At 48.2% G+C, this 20851-nt stretch overlaps 1 protein-coding gene and 2 long non-coding RNA genes across 22 annotated transcripts in view, besides 7 other annotated features; 1 reads left to right on the forward strand and 2 right to left on the reverse strand.

Annotated features, from left to right (window-relative positions):
• Positions 168–337: a silencer, noted in NCBI's record as "silent region_8643". NCBI's record gives its function as "represses an Ori minimal core promoter by ATAC-STARR-seq in GM12878 lymphoblastoid cells {active_cell/tissue: GM12878}" and the evidence as "EXISTENCE:reporter gene assay evidence [ECO:0000049][PMID:35858748]".
• On the reverse strand, positions 1365–5952 carry SP2-DT (SP2 divergent transcript). The gene is made up of 3 exons (NR_135480.1): positions 5839–5952; positions 4036–4094; positions 1365–1717 (listed from the first exon to the last, which is right to left on the reverse strand). It is a non-coding gene; the product is annotated as an SP2 divergent transcript (long non-coding RNA).
• Positions 4599–4893: a silencer, noted in NCBI's record as "tiled region #4370; HepG2 Repressive non-DNase unmatched - State 2:TssF". NCBI's record gives its function as "represses a minimal TATA promoter and a strong SV40 promoter by Sharpr-MPRA in HepG2 cells {active_cell/tissue: HepG2}" and the evidence as "EXISTENCE:reporter gene assay evidence [ECO:0000049][PMID:27701403]".
• The window catches only part of SP2 (Sp2 transcription factor), a 35496-nt gene continuing 21016 nt past the window's right edge, over positions 6372–20851 (forward strand). For 5 of the 19 annotated variants that reach the window (XM_011525143.2, XM_006722023.3, XM_047436569.1 and 2 more), the window contains exon 1: positions 6372–6429. Coding sequence is in view for 8 of the 19 variants with exons in the window: in XM_006722023.3 (XP_006722086.1) it covers positions 6423–6429 (7 nt within the window). In the remaining 11 variants the exon portion in view is untranslated. Of the gene's footprint in view, positions 6474–6872; positions 6983–7950; positions 8064–15171; positions 17015–19799; positions 19867–20851 lie in introns of those variants that run through there. The other 14 variants (XM_047436573.1, XM_047436571.1, XM_047436570.1 and 11 more) reach the window with 7 other exon arrangements.
• Positions 6442–6871: a silencer, noted in NCBI's record as "silent region_8644". NCBI's record gives its function as "represses an Ori minimal core promoter by ATAC-STARR-seq in GM12878 lymphoblastoid cells {active_cell/tissue: GM12878}" and the evidence as "EXISTENCE:reporter gene assay evidence [ECO:0000049][PMID:35858748]".
• The window catches only part of SP2-AS1 (SP2 antisense RNA 1), a 43019-nt gene continuing 30689 nt past the window's right edge, over positions 8522–20851 (reverse strand). The window contains exon 3 of one of the 2 annotated variants that reach the window (NR_103857.1): positions 8522–9439. This is a non-coding gene — a long non-coding RNA (SP2 antisense RNA 1). Of the gene's footprint in view, positions 10515–20851 lie in introns of both variants that reach the window. The other variant, NR_103856.1, reaches the window with a different exon arrangement.
• Positions 10220–10724: an enhancer, noted in NCBI's record as "H3K27ac hESC enhancer chr17:45977450-45977954 (GRCh37/hg19 assembly coordinates)". NCBI's record gives its function as "activates a minimal SCP1, AML or CMV promoter by ChIP-STARR-seq in naive H9 embryonic stem cells {active_cell/tissue: H9 hESC(naive)}" and the evidence as "EXISTENCE:reporter gene assay evidence [ECO:0000049][PMID:30033119]".
• Positions 11229–11732: an enhancer, noted in NCBI's record as "NANOG-H3K27ac-H3K4me1 hESC enhancer chr17:45978459-45978962 (GRCh37/hg19 assembly coordinates)". NCBI's record gives its function as "activates a minimal SCP1, AML or CMV promoter by ChIP-STARR-seq in naive H9 embryonic stem cells {active_cell/tissue: H9 hESC(naive)}" and the evidence as "EXISTENCE:reporter gene assay evidence [ECO:0000049][PMID:30033119]".
• Positions 12237–12740: an enhancer, noted in NCBI's record as "NANOG-H3K27ac-H3K4me1 hESC enhancer chr17:45979467-45979970 (GRCh37/hg19 assembly coordinates)". NCBI's record gives its function as "activates a minimal SCP1, AML or CMV promoter by ChIP-STARR-seq in naive H9 embryonic stem cells {active_cell/tissue: H9 hESC(naive)}" and the evidence as "EXISTENCE:reporter gene assay evidence [ECO:0000049][PMID:30033119]".
• Positions 14228–14421: a silencer, noted in NCBI's record as "fragment chr17:45981458-45981651 (GRCh37/hg19 assembly coordinates)". NCBI's record gives its function as "represses an EF-1alpha promoter that drives an FKBP-Casp9 reporter gene in an ReSE screen in K562 erythroleukemia cells {active_cell/tissue: K562}" and the evidence as "EXISTENCE:reporter gene assay evidence [ECO:0000049][PMID:32094911]".

A 20851-nucleotide genomic window follows, 5' to 3' on the forward strand; every position in this document is an offset into this window, starting at 1 on the left:
CACCCACCTTGGCCTCTCAAATTGCTGGGATTACAGGGGTAAGCCACTGCACCCGGGCCCAAATGGCTCTTTTTAAGGAGTCTCTTTGTAGAGGCTGGAACCCACTCTCAGTCTCCGAATGAAGCAGGCCCCATTCCTGGGGAATAGCAGGCACTCAATAGCTGCTTGTTAAACTGCATCTCCCTGTCCGCCCTGTGTTACTGTAAGGTGAACGCTGGGCAGCTGCTTTGGAAATGCCTTGGGCGCCCCCTGGTGGTGACACACAAAGGCTGAGGAGGCACCCCTGCCTTCCACCTTAAAGGGCTCCTTTTACCTGGGGCCCTGCCCTTTCTTCCTGAGGCTCCACAGATCCCACCCCAGGGAGACTGGGGGTAGAAAGAAGGAGCAAAGAAGGAAGAACCCTGTGGGGAAGGATGAGTGGAATGTCCTTGCTGGAAGATTCCATGGCAGTTGGTGGGGAGCCATCGGCCTGGACAGGGGAACCAGGGGCAGAGGAAGTTGACGAGTTAGGGCAGGGGTCAGGAGTGGCATCCCCGGCAGTGAAGACAGAGATGTGTCTGTATGTGTGCACCAGGGGTGTGGTGTAACAGGGAGATACATCTTATAGCCTCTGTCAATGTTTCATGTTCACAGAAGACTGAGGAAACCTAGATCCCTGAAATCATTGATGGACCCTAGGAGGAAAAAAAAAATTACCCAAATTCATCCAAGCTAGGTGTTTGTCCCATCAGATATTTTTGTGGGTCTGCATATGAGAGAGTCCGGGTTAGAAGTCTGCAACTCTGGGCCGGGAGAAGTCGCTCACGCCTCTAATCCCAGCACTTTGGGAGGTCGAGGCGGGTGGATCACCTGAGGTCAGGAGTTCGAGACAAGCCTGGCGAAAATGGTGAAACCCTGCCTCTACTAAAAATACAAAAATTAGCTGGGCTTGGTGATGCGCACCTGTAAACCCAGCTACTCAGGAGGCTGAGGCAAGAGAATTGGTTGAACCTGGGAGGCGGAGGTTGCAGTGAGCCGAGATCGCATCATTGTACTCCAGCCTGGGCGACAGAGCAAGACACTACCTCAAAAAAAAAAAAAAAAAAGAAGAAGTCTGCAATTTTGATTTCCCCATAAGTAGAAAGGGAAGAGATGAGAAAATAGAAAATCATAGGAGGGGAAAAGGGGAGAAGCAGAGGTTACTGGGAAATCCTTAAGGCAAAACAAGCAGTCTTTAGAAGGCTGGGTCGGCTGTAACTCTTCAAAGGTAAACACCAACAATAAAGCTTGGGTTGTAGCTATGAGTGAGGACCAACAGAGAGTCAAGGGGGCTGGCCTGATATTCTTCTAGTTTCTGGACCAACAGCACCAGTTATGCCACGTGGTTTCATAGGAGGCTCCAGGAGGGATCTGAAGCTTTTTTTTTTTTTAATTATACTTTAAGTTCTAGGGTACACGTGCACAACATGCAGATTTGTTACATAGGTATACATGTGCCATGTTGGTTTGCTGCACCCATCAACTTGTCATTTACATTAGGTATTTCCCCTAATGCTATCCCTCCCCCAGCCCTCCACCCCCCCGACAGACAGCCCTGGTATGTGATGTTCCCTGCCCAGATCTGAGCTTCTTGAGAGCAGAGGCTGTAGTTCCACATCCTTCCCTCCAGGACCCTCCCTCAGCATCCTGGGGGAGAGATGTTCACTGTCTGGTACTGACGGATTAGATGAGGACAACCCTGTGCAAAAAAGGACAAAGAGAATGTCAGGAAGCAGGAAAAGCACAGGAAAGTGAAGAAAGAAGGGGATTCAGAGGTAGACATGGAAGGAGAAGTAAAGTGGAAGTGGAAGAAGCTGGGCCTGAAAGAGAAGGGGTAAGTCCCTGAGAAGTGTTAAAAGGATATAGTCATTCGGTCAGTCAGTAAACATTTACTGTGCACCTACTATAATCAAGCAGTGTGCTGGGAATGGAAGGTGCCATGGTAGACAAGACAAGCATGGGGTTTTTAGTGGTGGAGAATGTGTAGCTTTGCAAGTTAGAAATGGAGAGAAAGTGACAATGTAGAGTAGAAAGAAACTGAAAGCAGTTGGAGACAAAAGGGAAATATCACTGAGAGAACCTGCCTCCAGACACACCAGGGAGGAGATGTCGCCCCTGGTTAAGGTTGACAGACACAGCCAGAACCACCCACTGGCCCTGGCTCTGCGAAGATGGCAGCAGGTAGGGTAGGAAGAGGAGAAATTCAGAAAGGCGAGGGACAGGAGTGGGTGGGGGTGGAGGGCACAGACTTTTCCTTGTTTTTACTTGGGCACCCCCAGTGGGAAGGTATCTTTGGGCTAAGGAGTCCTTCTCCACATTTGGCTGCCCATTGGAATCACCTGAGGAACTCCTTAATGCTGATGCCCCCCAGAGATTCTAATTTCCTAGGATGGGACCCAGACTTCAGAATTTACTAAAAGCTCTTTTAGTGAGTCTCACGTGTGGCCATGGCCGGGTGCAGTGGCTCACGCCTGTAACCCTAGCACTTTGGGAGGCTGAGGTGGGAGGATCGCTAGAGCTCAGGAGTTTGAGACTAGCCTGGGCAACATAGGGAGACCCCAGCTCTACAAAAAATTTAAAAATTAGGTGGGCATGGTGGCGCGCACCTGTAGTCCCAGCTACTTGAGAGGCTGAGGCGGGAGGATCACTTGGGCCCAGGAGGTTGAGGCTGCAGAGACCCTGTCTCAAAAATAATAATAAAAATAAAGGCGGGGCACAGTGGCTCACACCTGTAATCCCAGCACTTCGGGAGGCCGAGGCGGGCAGATCGTGAGGTCAGGAGTTTGAGACCAGCCAGACCAACACAGTGAAACCCCGTCTCTACTAAAAATACAAAAAATAGCCGGGCGTAGTGGCGCGCGTCTGTAATCCCAGCTACTCAGGAAACTGAGGCAGGAGAATCGCTTGAACCCGGGAGGAAGAGGTTGCAGTGAGCTGAGATAGTGCCCCTGTACTCCAGCCTGGGCGACGGAGCAAGTCTCCGTCTCTAAATAAATAAATAAATAAAGTGTGGCCGGGAGAGCACAAGCATTTCCAAGCCGCTGCCTGACCTTCTCCGTCTCTGTTGAAGACAGGGGCCATCTTGAAAGAAAAAATCTCTGAGGAGTTGTGTGGTCACTGGGGGAGCGGGGGTGTTTGTGAAGGAAGCTCTAAGACTCCAATGGGCCTGACAAAAGTATAACGGGGTCTTCTTCTTAGAAAGTGTCCCCTTCCTCCGGGTGCAGTGGCTCACACCTGCAATCCCAGCACTTTAGGAGACTGAGGTGGGTGGATCACTTGAGGTCAGGAGTTTCAGACCAGCCTGGCCAACATGGTGAAACCCTGTCTCTACTAAAAATACAAAAATTAGCCGGGAGTGGTGGTGCGTGTCTGTAATCCCAGCTACTCAGGAGGCTGAGGCATGAGAATCGCTTGAACCTGGGAGGCGGAGGTTGCAGTGAGCCGAGATCACGCCACAGCACTGCAGCCTGGGTGACAGAGCAAGACTCCATCTCGGGGAAAAAAAAAAAAAAGAAAGAAAGAAACAAAAAAAAACAACAAAAAAAAACAAAGGGTTCCCTTCTTTGGCTGTGTCTCTAGTAAGAAGAGTCAGACAGCCTAGAAACAAACAAAACAAGGATAAGGTGACCTTTAAAAGGGCAAAACCAATCAAATAATTCAAAACTACTGCAGAATTCTTCCAAGTATTCACACCCTGTCCTCCGCCCCGTGTGCGCACACTTTTTTTTTTTCACCTCTGCGGTCTTCATGATGGGGCCTCCAGGATAGGAGAAGCATAGCTACCCCGTTTTTCTCCCAGAAGAGGTTTGACAGTGGCCCAGCAGGATATTCAACCCCACCTACCTCCCCCCAAAACCCCTGCACCCTAATACAGGTGAGTCATGGAACCCGGGTGGAGTCCTTGGTTTGACAGTGAAGCAATCTAAACTTGAAAAATGGCCTGGGAACAGAATGTATGGACTATACAAACAAGTCATGCAGGTGTCATTGTATGCAAATATTCATTCTTTAACTCACCTTACATTTCCTGCTGATCCTCCTCTGTGCTGGCCTCAATCCTTCTACCACAGCTCAGTCTAGCAGGAGAGTAAGAAGTGAGAATAAAAGTGTGGAAATAGTGTGTGAGAGAGAAGCTCTTTTGCATGTGCCAGGGCAGCACAGAGGAGGAAGAAGCTATGGCTGGGCAGGAGTGAGGTATGCAGACTTTGAGCAGGGTCTTGAAGGATGCATAGGAGTTTATTTATTTTTCTGAGAGACAGGGTCTCGCTCTGTCACCCAGGCTGGAGTGCAGTGGTGTGATCATAGCTCATTTTAAGTTCAAACTCCCAGGCTCAAGTGATCCACCCACCTCAGCTTCCCAGGTAGCTAGAACTAAAAGTGCGCACCACCACATGCAGCTAATTTTTTTTGTAGAGATGGGGTTTTGCCATGTTGCCCAAGCTGGGTCTCGAAATCCTGGGCTCAAGTGATCCGCCTGCCTCTGGCTTCCCAAAGCACTAGGAATACAGGTGTGAGCCAACACATCCGGCCATGGATGCATAGGGGTTTACCAGAAGGGAAGGGTCACATAGGAAGTCAACTAGTGGAAAAAAGCGTAAGTGTTTAGGAACCTGGAATCTTTCCTGGAGGGAAAAGGGTAGGATTTGTAGGAAGGGAACGGGGGTAGAGGGAGGAGATAAAGCATGAAAGATACACCAGTAAGAGTGTGTCCTCTGGTGGATGCTGAGGTTAAGAAGAAAAAAGAGTGGGAGGACTTTGCCTAGAAAGGAGTTTGGGCTTTATCTAGGAGATACGGATCCCATGAAGGATCTTTACTAGAGGAGTATTATTGTCTAAAGTCTTGTTTTTCAAAGGCTAACACTGAGAGGAGAAGACTGGAAGAGGCTATTAACATTTATTCAGCAATTACTGTGTACCCGGTATTCTGCTCTGCATTTTGTATTATCACACCAACCTTTTCTAGCAGTGTTTTTCAAACTGCCAGTCATGATCAACAAGAAGGAGAATAAGATAGGATAGGATAAGCATAGAAACTATCAGTGCGTCACAAGTAGTAAGCATTGTTTTCGGAAACTTTATGACACTCTCATACAAATAGCAGTGTACTGGTCTGTATGCAAAATGTATTTCTCTTGATGGACTATGTTTTTTTTTGTTTGTTTTTTTTTTTTTTTTTTTTAAGCCATCGCGCTAAGGTGTAGGTGTGATTAACCTCGTTTTACTGATGAGGACATGAAGCTCAGGGAGTTTCGGTACCCTGCCTAAGTTAGTGGGATGTGTAGGTTTCAAACCCAGACTGGTCTGAAGCCAGAATGGATTCCCTCACTAAGCTAGGCAGCCTTCCCAAGTTCTCGGAAGAGACTTGGGAGCAAAGATAAACCTACCCGCCTAGTGCCTACCAAGTGCTTTACCTCATCTCAAGAAGGTAAGGGTAAGTGGGGCAGAGGCCAAGCAGTACTTCTCAAACTCAAGCGTGCAATTCTGTCCACGCGAGGCCCTTGCTAAAATGCAGATTCTAGGCACGCCCCGTGAAGTACCGAGTCGGATTAGGAGAGGCGGCCAGGGGAGCCTGCCTTTAGAAAGAGCTTCGGATGATTCAGATGCACACGTTTGGGACCGTGGGCTATGGGGGTCGCCGCAATAACCATGTGAGGATTAACGGGGGCTTAACCGATTGTGAAAATCCCCTTAGAAGTGTCGCGTAAACAACCCCAACTCCCACTATGGTGCCGGACCCCAGTGCCTCACTGTACAAAGTCGCCCCTCCCCAGGCGACAACGAGAGAGGGACTAAATAAAAGGTTGATGGCTTTCCACTCACCAGGCATGGGGTTGAGTGGCAGCCGGCTACTGCCGAAGAGCAGGTAAAAGCTCCTGCCACACCTGGGCGAGACTGGACTTAGGGCGCAATGTATATGCTATTTCTGGGGCATTTGTGGGCCTCACCCTAAGGACTTCTGATTGGCTTCAGGGCAGATCTATCATTCATCCTCTGGGTTAGAGGTGGGTGGAAGGTCAACCTCGACCAATACAAAAGCACTCTTCGGCTAAGCCCCTCCCCTTCCAGCTTCCTGTTGCTGTACATCAACCACCCAGCGGGCGGGACTTTGCCTCCCTCCAATTGGCTGATGCACATGTCACTCATTATTCAATTGGCTTTCGGTTGGTGCGCTCTACCGTCCATCAGTGACATTGCACAGACCTATTGGTCAAATCAACGTCGCTCTAGACGCCTCTGGTTGATTGGTTAATAGTGCTGTCGGTCCCCAATGTTCCAAGCGCTTATTGGTGAAGGCTGCCGTCGCTCGGGCGGTGGCGGGCTCCGGGATTGGCGGTTGCTTGGCGGGCGGTGTCAGGCTCTCGGTGGCGGCGGAGGCGGCGGAGGCCAGGGAGGAAGATGTCGTAATGAGCGGTGGGTCCCGGCCGCTGCCGGCGGGGTCTTCCCGGCCCCCAAGGGTCAGGAAGACGGGCAGAGGCCGCGGGGAGAGGGAGCCGAGGCCGGGGGTTCCCCCCTGGGGCTGGGTCTGGCGTCGGGGCCCGGCTTCAGGAGGGGCGGGGGAGGGAGGATTCCCGCCCGGAGGAGGAGCGGGGCTGGCCAGCCGGGCGGAGGCACCCGGAAGGGGGCGTTCGACTCCCCGCCCCCTCGGAGCCCGCCGGGCGGGAGGGCGGCGCTTCCGGGGGCCGGCGAGAGGAGCGGGCACCGGGGTGGCCTGGCACCCCTCGGACGGGTGCCGACCCACTTCAACGCCGCTCTCCCGCCTGGGCGAACTATGCCTGGGTCGGCTCTGAGGAGGCAGCCAACAGCCCTTGTGTTCGCCCCGTGTCTGAGAGGCCTTCCTGCACTCTTAACTGTAGATGCCCACCAGCGATTCAGGGCTCCCCGGAGAACAGAGAGGGGCGAGGGAACGCTTGAGACCCGGACGCTGCCAACCAGATGGGCACTGCTCGGCATCGACGACAGCCCGGTTACTGATATATCCCCAGTCGGGCGATGGTGTCAGGACACGAGAGCACTCCCTGGGCAGATGACCTCTCACCGGGGAGTGGGCAAAAACCTTCCTTTAATGTTTTTACTTGGATCCTTGATCTTCCAGCTAGATATCTGCAAGCTCTTAGCAGAATTGTGAGAAGTTTGAGAACTTCTTGCCAGAGCTCCCAGCCTGTTACTTGACGCCCCGTAGGGGAGACTACTGCAGTCCCAAAGCTCAGGCGCAAACAATCTTAAGGAATTACAGAAGAAATAAAACAAAATAGATACTCGCTCTCTTCCTGTACCCACCTCCATCCCCATTGCTGACTTACGGTTTTCAGCCTCTTATCCATGCTTCTTATGTTTCCTTGCCAGCGGCTTTCTAATTTTAGTTCAGAAGGAACTATGTTTTCTCCTCTGGGCAACTGAGAAACCTGTCCTCACTGCATTCCTTGGTTTTGATTGCAATATCCTGTCATGTTTGTTTCTTAATTAACTTCATCCAAGGGGACTCAGTCTGGCCTTTCTCAGTGCATTCTCCCAAAGTTCTTTCTTCTTCTGAGGTTACTTCTTGTTCACTTATTGTTTCCTAGAGAAAGGTATGAGCCAGTAGATCTGCTTTAAACAATGAATTGGCCCAAGTTTCCCGTTTACAGATTTCATTACAGATGGACACTGTTTCAAGGTGCACTGGCATGCACTGTCTAAAACGGTTTCATGCTGTACCCCAGAAGGCATTCAGTTTCACAGTGGAGGGCTGTATTGAGTTGGTATTCTGGATGATACAATTTTTAGGGCTAGAAAGTTTAGAGTGTTGGCTGGCTCACAGGCTGCAAAGGAAATAATGGTGGAGTCCAGACCACAGCAGTAATTTCAATTACTAACACAAAGAAACCCATTGTCTGCAATAATGAATATAACTGCAGTGTCTTGTTTTGTTTTAAATTCTTGTGTGCGATGAAGGGGGCGAATCTATCAGACAACCTATCAATTGGGCTGATGATGTCAGTGTTCCAGTGGCTTCTAACAGGCGTTAATACCTGTTGGAAATGGATTATCATTGGCTGGGACGATTGGTAAGTTTTCTAATTCTAGTTCTTCCTCTTGGTTGTACAGAGGCTTAACCTCTTTGGTTAAAAGCAACTACAAGAAAAAAAGCGAGTCTGACATAATTATGAACCCCCCTGAGCTAGGCTGCTGAAGCCAGAAACTCTTTGCCAAGGAGACCCAAGTAGAGTTTGTTAATAATCGGATCCTCACCTGACTGCCCAACGGGGAGAACTGGCTCCGGGAGAAAGAGTTTGGCATCACTCTGGACAGCAGATAGACTGGCCACTTTTTTCTCTCAGATTCTATTAAAGTTTGGGCCTCTGGAGAGGCCTGTCAGAGAGGAGAAAAGAAATTATAAGATTTGGGCAAATGTCTGGGGTAAAGAAGCTTTATGGCATTTCAGCAAGTAGAGTGGTTGGTTCATTTGGATATTTTGGCCTTGAACTTCTTATTTCTTCTGGTGGTTAATACCAGCTTTTTGGAGAAGTTGAACAGTCCTTTGCTATAGGTCTGTGGCAGATCCCAAGTACTGTCAGCAAGTATAGTATTGCCCAACCAGGGCCCTTATGAAGACATTTTAAACTTGTTGCAGCCAACCAGTAGACCTTAGTATTGGCTTGGTTTCAGCCATCTTCTAAACCTTGCCCACTCATTTCTGTGATAGATATGTATAACATGTTTTTTTTCTAATACTTATTTTTTCACACACACCCCCCTTTTCTGTATACACAAAAATTGGAAACCCTGCTTCCAAACACTGAAAAACTTAGGATATTTTGGATCAGGTGGACAATGGCTATGGAATGAAAGATGCAGAGAAACACTGCTTTAAAGAGTATGTAGAGAGTTACAGAGTTTAGGGATGCAGTAGCGTGAACACTTCTGAGTTTACAAGATTTAACCTCATGGCCCCATCTTAAATCTTGCGGGCTGCAAACCTGGAGTAAAATCTGTTCAGGGAAGCTCATATGCTTTCTTACAAGTTCATTGGGTGATATGTCTGGAGTTTTCCCTTTTTGCAACTGACTTGGATTTGTCGGAATTTCTTCCCAGCACCTACAGGCTGAACTAAACCAGTATCCAGTACATTTCTGGGCTGATAAATGGACATCATTTTGGAATGCATTTGTTGCTTTTTTGCTTGTTTTTGCCTTGCTTTTGTTTTGGATATGCGTGCAACTCCTTGTATGACGTTGTCTAGACCTGTTGTAGGAGGAAAAAAAGTTCTTTCTCTTTATTTCTTCCCTTGTAGAGCCAACACTTAGATCTTTATGTTTCTGAAATGTAGTTGAGTGTCTTTTTAAAGATGCTCTTCCTCAATTATCAGCAGATCTTTTTTTGGCTAGCAGCATTCTCTTAGGAGACCTTGGGGTGGAGGAGGTCTCACTTTTCTGTCAGCAATCTATTGGAGCAAGGTGGAAAGATGAGTGAAGAGGGTAAAAATATGTGACATTTCTTTTTTTAAAATAATAGAGGCATAGTCTCTCTATGTCAGGCTGGTCTCAAAACTCCTGGCCTCAAGCAATCCTCCCACCTCAGCCTCCCAAAGTGCTGGGATTACAGGCATGAGCCACTGTGCCTAGCCAACATGGGACATTTCTAACTCGAGGGTATTGTCAGGCCATGTAGGAAAGGGAGCAGAGATTGCCCTTGAGGAGATGCTCCCAGGTGGCAGATTTGTCCTACTTGATAGATTCCAAAATGGAAAACGGATTTTTCTGCTGCCTCTGGGGACACTGAAAAAAGAACCTCCACATGAGTTCAGAGGCAGCACCGGCAGCTTAGGGGAAGTCATGGCTTCCACTGCGTGTCTAGGAAGCGCTCTTTCAGGATGCTCTGAGGCTGCCACTGGCACAGGGGAATACTGTGCTTCTCATCAGACTGGGCTGCGGGCTGATGTGCTCTTGGGAGATGAGCTCTGCTCAGGAGCAAGAGGTTGTGAAAGGGCTGATGTTTCTTAGGCTCCCCCAATGAGCAGCTCCAAGCAGTGCTGAGATGTCTAGGCCGTTTGTGTCACAGGACAAGCACACTTGCAGACCCAACTGTTGGAATCCTTCATTGGCATATCATTCCCATTGCTGCTGTTTGTCTCCACATCAGAATTGCTTGCTATACTTAGCCAGAAGCCCTGCCACATTGCAGTGCAGAGGCTTAGCTTTCTTGTTTTTGTTGCTGAGTGCTCTGAGATACCAGTTTGTCCCTTTGTGGTGATTTAGGCAGTTAGGTGGCCTTTGATCTCATTCACAGAGTAAAAATGGCTCAGGAGGAGCCAGCAGACACTAGCGTACACATTTCCAAATGTCATCTTTCTAGAGCCTTCTCTTTGGGGTTGTCACCTCTCCTATAGAATTTGGTAGAATCACAAAGTGGTCTCCAAGAGAGTGTGAATAGGAAGTAAGAGTGAGCAGGCAGGCCATGTAATTGGAAGTGGAATATCTCTGCTCTCAATTGATAATTAGGAATCTTCTTAGATCAGCCTAGAAGAAAACAGACCAAGACATTTCCCAGCCTCCAAAAAAGTAAATGGTAAGCCAGCCCTGTCTTCTCAGGGGAAATGAAATCACCACTCATTTCAGAAGCTGATTCTGGCCTGGGGCCGGGCTGGGTGATCACGCCTGTAATCCCAGCACTTTGGGAGGCTGAGGCAGGCAGATCACTTAAGGTCAGGAGTTCGAGACCAGCCTGGCTAACATGGCAAAACCCCATCTCTACTAAAAATACAAAAATTAGCCATGTGTGGTGGCACACGCCTGTAGTCCCAGCTACTGCAGAGGCTGAGGCACGGGAATCACTTGAACCCAGGAGGCGGAGATTGCAGTGAGCCGAGAGCGCACCACTGCACCCCAGCCTGGGTAACAGAGCAAGACTCCATCTCAAACAAAAACAAAACACTGATCATGGCCCAGGATAAATGTGGGGAGTGACTCACAAATAAATGTGCCAAAGCACATAAAGAGATTCTTTAGGGGAAAAAGTATATCTTGCTTCTTTTTTTTCTCCTGTTCTCTAAAATTCTGAGGCCCAGTATTCTTTGACAAAAAAACTTGATGCTGTTTCTTGGGCCTGCTTTGATCAGGTTCTCTTCACCCTATGCTGCCCCCACCCCCACACACTTCCAGAGTCCCTTCCAGTACAATGGGATGTGACGCAGTCAGGATGCAAACTAGCAAATGACAGTCACGTTTTGGAAAGAAGAATTAAGGGTGGAGACAGATAGGCGGTATTCAAATTCAAGTGCCTTCGTTATCTTTTTTTTTTTTTTCTTGAGACGGAGTCTCGCTCTGTCACCAGGCTGAAGTGCAATGGCGCAATCTTGGCTCACTGCAACCTCTGCCTCCCGGGTTCAAGCGATTCTCCTGTCTCAGCCTCCAGAGTAGCTGGGACTACAGGCACGTGCCACCACACCCAGCTAATTTTGTATTTTTAGAAGAGACGGGGTTTCACTGTGTTGGCCAGGATGGTCTCCAACTCTTGACCTCGTGATCCATCCGCCTCAGCCTCCCAAAGTGCTAGGATTACAGGCGTGAGCCACCGTGCCTGGCTTTGTTTTTTTTGTTTTTTGTTTTGGTTTTTTTTGAGACAGAGTCTCGCTCTGTCACCAGGCTGGAGTGCAGTGGTGCTATCCCGGCTCTGCCAATGCATGTCAATGGAGAGAAGCATTAATAATGCATATCAGTTGAGAGAAGCATTGAAATGCAGTAGTACCTGGTGTGTGGTGATGAGAGGCGTGCGCTTTGAAGTTTTTGGCCAGGAGCAGGACTGGACTGCACTGGCCCACATGTGAGGTGACTGGTGGGGTTGAGGGTTCCACCAGGGTCTGGGTCAGCTAAACCCAGCTGTGGAGTGGATCCTGACCTAGTGCCAGGATATGCAAATCTGCAGCTTTTCTCCTTTGGTTCCTAAACTCGCTTTAGGCCCTCCTGCTCTAAAGCCTCCAGGATTTATTCATTCACTTATTCAACAAATATAGATTATTAAGCACCTACCATGTGCCAGGGACTGGGATACATCAGTGAGTAAGGCAGAGAAGTCCCTGCCTTTAGGAAGCTTACATCTTAGTGGGAGACAATTAATAACTAATAGATATTTGTTAGACAGTGAGAAGTGCTAAGGAGGCAAAATGAGGATAAGGTAAAAAAAGGGGGGTGGCAATTTACATAGGGTGATCAGGGAAGGTCTCAATGATAAGGTGACATCCGAGTAAAACCCTGAAGGAGTGGGGAGGAGATTGAGCCTTTTTCTATCTGGGGTGAGGGGAGGAGGGTGAGAACTCAGCAGAGAGAAGAGCAATGCAAAGACCCTCAGCAGGGGCCATACTTGGTATGTTCAGGAACAGCAGGGAGCCAGCATGGCTAAAGCAGTGAGAGAGGGAGAGTGACAGGGCAGGTGAAAGAGGTTAGGTCACACAGGGGCCTTTTGTGTCACAATGGAGATTTTGGCTTTTACTTTGAGTGGGAGATGGGATGGTATTGGGGGCCTCTGAGCAGAGAAATAACATGGTTTCATTTAAGTGTGATGGGTCTTACTCTGGATGTGTTGAGAATAGACTGATGGGGTCAAGGTCAGAAGCACAGCTAGGAGGTTAATCCGTGGGAGACATGATAGAAACCTGGACCTAGGTGATGACAGAGGAGGTGGTAGAAGCAGTCAGATTGGGCATATATTTTGAAGATAGAGTGTTTGCTGTCAAGTGTAGGGTGTGGAAAAAAGATAAGGATAACTCCCAAGGTTTTAAGGCTGAGGAGCTGGAAAGATGAAGTTACTATTCATTCACTGCAGTGGCGAATTTTGAAGGAGTCACAGGATTAGGACAATATCGGGAGCACTGTTTGGGGCTAGTTAGATTTTTGTTTTGTTTTGTTTTGTTTTTTGAGATGTTGTTTTGCTCCTGTCACGCAGGCTGGAGTGCAGTGGCACAATCTTGGCTCACTGCAACCTCCACCTCCCGGGTTCAAGCGATTCTCCTTCCTCAGCCTCCCAAGGAGCTGGGATTACAGGCGGGCACCACCACGCCCGGCTAATTTTTGTATTTTTAGTAGAGACGAGGTTTCGCCATGTTGGCCAGGCTGGTCTCCAACTCCTGACCTCAGGTGATCCACCTGCCTCGGCCGCCCAAAGTGCTGGGATTACAGGCGTGAGCCACAGCGCCCAGCTGGGGCTAGTTAGATTTACGATGCCTATTAATACATCCAAGTGGAGCTATCAGTAGGCAGTTGGATATACCAGTCGAGATAGAAATGTGAGAGTTAAAATTATATAGAATCTGTATCTTACTGGTTTCTAAACCCACGAGACTAGACAAAATCAGCTAGGAAACAGGTGTAGACAGAAGAAAGGTCCTGAGACAGAGTCCTGGGGCAACCCAATCATTTAGAATTTGAGAGGAGAGGAAGAACCAGCAAAGGAGATATGGGAGAAGTTAGCCAGAGACTAGCAAGTGTGTCCTAGAGGCCAAGTAAAGAAAGTGTTTCAAGGAAGAAGAGGCCAGGCGCGGTGGCTCACGCCTGTAATCCCAGCACTTTGGGAGGCCGAGGCGGGCAGATCACTTGAGGTTAGGAGTTCGAGACCAGCCTGGCGAACATGGTGAAACCCCAACTCTATTAAAAATACAAAAAATTAGCCGGGCGTGGTGTCAGGCCCGTGTAATCCCAGCTACCTGGGAGGCTGAGGCAGCAGAATCACTTGAACCGGGGGGCGGAGGTTGCAGCGAGCCAAGACCAAAAGGAAGAGCAATCAACTGTCAGAGCAACACGGATGACGTGGTTTAAGAAGTAGCCATGGCCGGCGCGGTGGCTCACGCCTGTAATCCCAGCACTTTGGGAGGCCGAGGTGGTCGGATCACGAAGTCAGGAGATTGAGACCATCCTGGCCAACATGGTGAAACCCTGTCTGTCTCTACTAAAATACAAAAAATCAGTCGGGCGTGGTGGCACACGCCTGTATTCCCAGCTACTCAGGAGGCTAAGGCAGGGGAATCACTTGAACCCGGGAGACGGAGGTTGCAGTGAGCTGAGATTGTGCCACTGCACTCCAGCCTGGCAACAGAGCGAGACTTTGTCTCAAAAAAAAAAAAGAAGTAGGCCAGGTGCAGTGGCTCATGCCTGTAATCCTAGCACTTTGGGAGGCTGAGACTGGCGGATCACGAGGTCAGGAGATCGAGACCATCCTGGCTAACACAGTGAAACCCTGTCTCTACTAAAAATACAAAAATAAATTAGCCAGGTGTGGTGGCGGGCACCTGTAGTCCCAGCTACTCGGGAGGCTGAGGTAGGAGAATGGCGTGAACCCGGGAGGCGGAGCTTGCAGTGAGCTGAGATTGTGGCACTGCACTCCAGCCTGGGTGACAGTGAGACTCTGTCCCAAAAAAAAAAAAAAAAAAGAAGTAGAAGTAGCCATTAGGTTTTTAGCAACATGGAGGTGTCTGGTGGTGTGAACAGTTTTCGTGGCATGCATGAGGAGGGTGCAGCCTGGTTGGAGCAGGTTTAAGAAAAGCTAGCGGGAGAGAAATTAAGGACAGTAAGTATAGGTAACTCCTGCAAGGAGTTTTGCTTGAAGAGAAGGGGAGACATAATGGATCTTAGCTGATGAGGGAAATTTTAACTTCTTGATGAAATTGTAGACATACCTAAGGGTCATTGCCTGAGGCTGGGGGTCTGAGATGGCGGAGTGGGGGGAGATGGGAGGCTCAGTAAAGGGTTAATGTGGAGACAAGATCTCCATTCCTTACTCACCTTCTTGCTTACTTCGGCCTGTGGCATTAGCAAGCCACGGCCCAGAGTTGTTCTCATTGAAATGAAAGCCATTGAAATTTGTTTTACTGTTAATGGGCTCTTTTACCATGGTTTTAATTTATTTGTTTATTTAAAATTTTTATTATTATTTTTTAAAGACAGGGTCTCACTCTGTCATTCAGGCCAGAGCACAGTGGTGCAATCATGGCTCACTGCAGCCTCGACTTCCTGGACTCAAGCAATCCTCTCGCCTTGGCCTCCTAAGGAGCTGGGACTGCAGGCACACACCACCACACCCAGCTAGTTTGTAAACATTTTTTGTAGAGATGGCATCTTGCTGTATTGCCCAGGCTAGTCTTGAACCCCTGGCCTCAAGTGATCCTCCTGTCTCGGCCTCCCAAAGTGCTGGTATTACAGGCATGAGCCACCGTGCCCACCTTATAATAGTTATTATGATTGCTGAGGTTTGCCTCTCATTGAAATATTCAGCACAATTTGGAGTCTTTCACTACCAAGGTTGCTGCTTTCTTCATCCAAATGGATTCTCATACCCCATTTGTGAGCTTTCTTTGAGGTCCAACTTTGTTCTCTAAAACCAGCCAGGGCATGCTTTTCCCTCACCAGCTCTGAATTCTTCCAGGCTAGGCAACTGGAAAAGCCTGGGCTTAGAAACTGCTTTGTTGGCTTACGGCCCAGCTGAGCTGACCAAAATAGCCAAGAGAAAGACTGTTTGCACAGTGTGAAATTCCTCCAGGGGAAATACCATAGCAAAAAGCCAAGAAAGCCAGACCCACGATGGCAGGAACCCACAGGCAAAAAAAGCCGAGTTACCCCCAAGGCCTGGGTTGTGGAGATGGAGCCTAGTTCTCTCCAGAAGAAAAAGCTTCCTAAAGCCTACTGTTGTGGTATTTCTGTAGGCGCGTTTTCTCATTTGCTGGGTCTCAAGAGTAGCATTCTCAGTGAAAGGAACAGTCGAACAGCCTGCAGCCTGGTGGCCAGGGCTCAGAGGTCTCTCTTCCTGTTACGTGCTCTCCCCAAGTCAGGCCTAGAAAGACCGTGGGACAGGGACACACTCCCAGCTCTGTGTTGATGGGACAGTGCCGAAGGGTGCCTGGAGTATGCACTGGCAGGTAGCAGGGTCACCTGCCCCAGATTTGAGGTGGGAGGAGGTCAGGAAAGGCTTTCGCTGAGTGAGAGTATAAATGAGCTCTAAAGGACAGGAGCTGGCCGGGCAAATGGGAGAGAGTGTGCTTCAGGCTCCAAGTGAGACAGGGTGGCGTGTTTTAATTCCAGAAATGAAAAACTGAAGTGTGTGTTGGGAGAGTTGGAAGGGAAAGAGGTCAGGAGGGAGGACCAGGGAGGGACAGGTTGTTCTGGCCTTTATAAGTTTATCACAAGAGCATCAGGGAACAATTGAGGGGGTTAATTAGGAGAGTAGCTGGATGGGATTTGCACTTTAAAAAGAGCCTTCTAACCAAATTGTGGAGGCTGACTAAGGGGGAGGCCAGAGGCCAGGAAGCAGTTTTAGAGGCCGTAGGCAGTATCTCAGGTGGATCATGGTGATGAGGATGGGGAGCCTGGGTACACTATAGGGAGATTTGTCTATGAGGTGGAATCATGAGGACTTGATGATTGGTTGGCAGTGAGGGGGATACTCAGGTTTTGTCCTGATTGGAGATACCAGAAGAGAGGCTGCTTTAACCCAGGATATTCATACAGCCCATAGGCACTGAAGGTGTCCGTGAGCCATGTGCCAGGCCTTGGTGTCTGCAGTTCAGTGGTGTAAACAGACATGGCCCACCCTGGGGAGCCCTCGCATACATTGGGCTCATGATTAGTTAATGAGTGGTGAGTGTTCCCAAAGGAGTTAGCCTCATCTCAGGGGTCCAGAAAGGCCTCTCTGAGGAAATGGCATGCCTGTTACATAATGGCTCTTAAATTATGCTGGGAAAGTCAAACAGCCAGAGACCTGAAGGGTGAGGTCTTAGCTAGTGAAGAGAACAGAAAGAGCTGTAAGCAAGGAAAGACAGCTGCAGACACTGAAGTTTTTCAAGGATCTGGAAGAAGGCCTGTGGTGGCTGAGGGTGAGAAGGCTGGACAAAGAATGGGCAAAGCTGTCGCTCAGTGCCCCAGGTGTCTGTGGCCAGCCCTAATGGAAGACCCACAGAGGGCTGGATGTACAGGTCTAACACGTGGAGCAGAGATCTGGGCCAGACACAGGCCTATGAGTTGGCAGCCTGTGGAAGGTATGTAAAGCCGTGCGAGTAGGCATGGTCACCCAGGGAAAGGGTGCTGGGTGAGGAGAAAGGACAGATGTTGGGGAACATCAGTATTTAAGGGTGGCAAAGGAAGAGGAGCCCACAAGGGGAAGAGGTGGCAGGAGAGGTGGGAGAAAATCCATGGGAATTTTGAGGAAGAGGCACTGGTCAGAGGGGCTATTGGATTGAGCAGCAAGGAGGTCGCTGGTGACCTGGGCAGGTGCAGCATGAGCGCAGTGCCAGGGTGGATGTCCTAATGCTGCCGGGAAATGAGTGAGTAGGGAAGGAGGGAGGGGACGGCAGGGTGCCAGCAGTTTTTCTACCAAGTTTGGCCAAAGGGGTAGGAAGAGAAGGCTGTGCTGGAGGGGACAGGAGGTAGAGGCGGATGATCAGTAGTACATCAAGAGTCTAGAAACTCAGGGGATGCTTTTCTGCTGGTTTTGGAATTAAATTGGTTTCCAATATGGGAAAGGAATGTTGTGTGTGGTCCCATCGGGCACCTGCAACCCCATCCCTATGCCATGCTGCCTTCAAACTTTGTTTGATGCCCCTGGAGTTTTCCATGGAACCTAAGAGAGGTACTATTGCTTGTATAGTAAATAATTGTAAAACTTCACCAGCTTGGGGACTGTTGGGAAAGTTTTAGCCAACCTAACTTAATGAAAAGTCTGAATGATATAACTTTGAAAGCAATGCAGCTTTTTCTTTCAAGAATATGCACTAATCCCACTTACCTATGTTGTTAAGTGTTGGTTTCAGTGACCGGATGTAAACTACTGTTAAAACCAAGTGGCACTATTAAAATGGCGGAAGTGGTATAAAACAATTATTCTGACTAAGGGTCCCTTTGCAATCTTCGAACACCATTTAGGCTCGCTTTAAATAGTATGAAAGAAAAGTTAAGCATAATTTATGTCCAAATTGTATATTTTAAATATAAAGTTCCAAATTAATGAGGTTCTAAAGTGCCTTTGATCATAGTCTTACAGTTAGGTATCTATGCTACCTCTTCTTAACCACTTTTCATTTCCAAACATCAGTGGGAAATGCCTCTCTTTTCCTTTTCGTGGTTAATTCTGTAGTGGCAGGGAGATCGGTCTCTCTTTTGGTTGCCCAGGTCTGCAGCCTGTGGCCATAAAGCTCTGAGTGACGCTAGGAAAGATACTTGCAAACATTGGTTTGAGATCTATAGGAGTATTTCAGGAACCAGCTGGGGAGGAAAATGAAACCAAGCTGAAATGGTGCAACGTCCAGCACTAGCAGTCTGCAGCTTGCTTCAGTAGATTCTGCTTTAACCTCCTAACTGAAGAGTCACTCAGAACCCAGCCCAGTGTCCAAACAGTTTGAGTCCAGGGTAATAAGGACTGCAGAGAGGGAGATGATGAAGAAACGCTAGGCCAGTTTTTATTTCGTCTCATTTCATTTACACTCTGCGCGGATCCTATGTCTCTTGTTTTATAATAGAGGATGTCTAAGAGAGTCATTCACTAATTTTAGCTAAGCAAACCTGAGCCCTGGGGGAGCCTCCTGGGAGAGCCATTGCCTTCCTTTGCAGTTCTGCCAGCAACAAACTCATCTTGTATTTTTATCAGCAACATGGTCTGAGAAGTATAAAAATCTTTTTTTTAACTTATTTTAAATCACTGCACTTTCTTCCAGTGAATAAAAATCTTTTTTTTTTGAGATGGAGTCTTGCTCTTGTCGCCCAGGCTGGAGTACAGTGGCACGATCTTGGCTCATTGCAAAATCCGCCTCCCGGGTTCAAGCGATTCTCCTGCCTCAGCCTCCTGAGTAGTTGGGATTACAGGTGCGCACCACCACACCCAGCTAATTTTTGTAGTTTTAGTAGAGATGGGGTTTCCCCATGTTGGCCAGGCTGGTCTCGAATTCCTGAGCTCAAGTGATCTGCCCGCCTCGGCCTCCCAAAGTGCTGGGATTATAGGTGTGATCCACCGCGCCCGGCCATGAATAAAAATCTTAAAGATCATTTGGTCCAACTTCCCACCCCATCTCAACATCCTGACTCCAGCAGGGACACATGTCCTGCCTCTGGTTAAGTGATTCCAGAGAAGGGAGAACATAGTACCTCAGAAGGCAACTGATTTTCATCTTTTCAAAGTTCTCTCTTGTGTTAACTAAAATCTGCCTCAAAATGTCCACACAGGAGTCTTGGTTCTACCCTTTGAACCCATGTCCCCACTCTGGCACCCTGACCACAACCATTGCTGCTGTCTTCTGAACAAGCTCCAGCTGAAAATCCCCCTTTTAAAATGTCCCTCAGAACAGAACCTGATGCTCCAGATGTGGCCCAAGTGTGTAAACTACAGGAGGATATTATTTTTTTGTTCTATGACTGAACTTTTAGAAATGCAATCCAAAATTGCAGTAGCCTTTTTGGCAGCCATATCTAGATTGTGCTGGCCCCCATTCAGCTTAAAGTCAAAACCTCTGGGGCTTTTCCACATGGCACTATTAGGCTCTTTCTGCCCTATATGCATGTGATTGGTTTTTTAACCTAAGTGGAGGACTTATTTTTTTTAATATACAGACAAGGTTTCACCATGTTGCCCAGGCTGGGCTCAAACACCTGAGCTCAAGTGATCTGCTCACATTGCCCTTCCAAAGTGCTGGGATTACAGGCTTGAGCCACTGCACCTGGCCAGGACTTATTAAACTTTAAAGCCATATATGCCTTTAAACCCTCGATGCAGTGATATAAATTATTAGAGCCTCACAGAAATCCTAGAAGGATGACATTACCTTTGTTTTACAGAGGGCACTAGGAGGAGGCTAAGAGGGACCATCCCACTAATGAACCACACAGTCAGAATCTCATTTAGGTATGGAGCCTGATGTTCTTAAACATTGTACCTACCAGTTTTTTAAGATGTCCTTGAACTCTAATACTAATACCCATTGTGTTTCCAATCCTTCTCACTTTTGTGACATCTGCAAGGTTTTTTTGTTTGTTTTTTGATACCGAGTCTTGCTCTGTTACCCAGGCTGGAGTGCAGTGGCACCATCTCGGCTCACTGCAAGCTCTGCCTCCAAAGTTCAAACAATTCTCCTGCTTCAGCCTCCCAAGTAGCTGGGAGTACAGGCATGCGCCACCACACCCGGCTAATTTTTTTGTATTTTTAGTAGAGACAGGATTTCACCATGTTGGCCAGGCTGGTATGAACTCCTGATACACCTGCCTCAACCTCCCAAAGTGCTGGGATTACAGGCGTGAGCCACCACGCCTGGCCAACATCTGCAAGTTTTACTTGTCGTCTAGATCTTTGCCAAACTTGGGTGGTGAATACCATTCTAAAGCCTAAGTTTTCCAGCCTGTAGGGCACAAAACCAATTTAGTGGGTCACAGCCAGCATTTAAAAAAACAAAACAGAATAGAAAAATATCACGGTCCGTCACATGTAATAAGGGAGTTTTGTTTCAGGAAACTTTCATTGCATGAGCATGGGACAGAAATGTGTGGTGTATGTATGCATATGGTGGGTCTTGATGCAAATTGTTTCTGTAACTGTGGTTCGTGGTCTGATAGTTTGAACACTACCACTCTAAAGGAAAAATGGTTTGGGTTGGCTTAGATTATTTTCATTATAATATTACAACTTAATTTTATATGAACATGAATCTGTGTGTCAGCTCATTGATCTAGCTCCTATAAAGTTCACACATGTAACTACAAAAAAAGCCAGTAAAATTCAAATTATCAGCATCATTCTGAGAGGGTGATGTTTGACTGAACCCAAATCATTGCTTTTCCTTGTAAGCATGGCACAGACTTGACACTTAGGCTCCTTGAGTTCTGCACACCCATCC

Source organism: Homo sapiens, chromosome 17 (assembly GCF_000001405.40).
Source record: "Homo sapiens chromosome 17, GRCh38.p14 Primary Assembly".
Taxonomy (NCBI): Eukaryota; Metazoa; Chordata; class Mammalia; order Primates; family Hominidae; genus Homo; species Homo sapiens.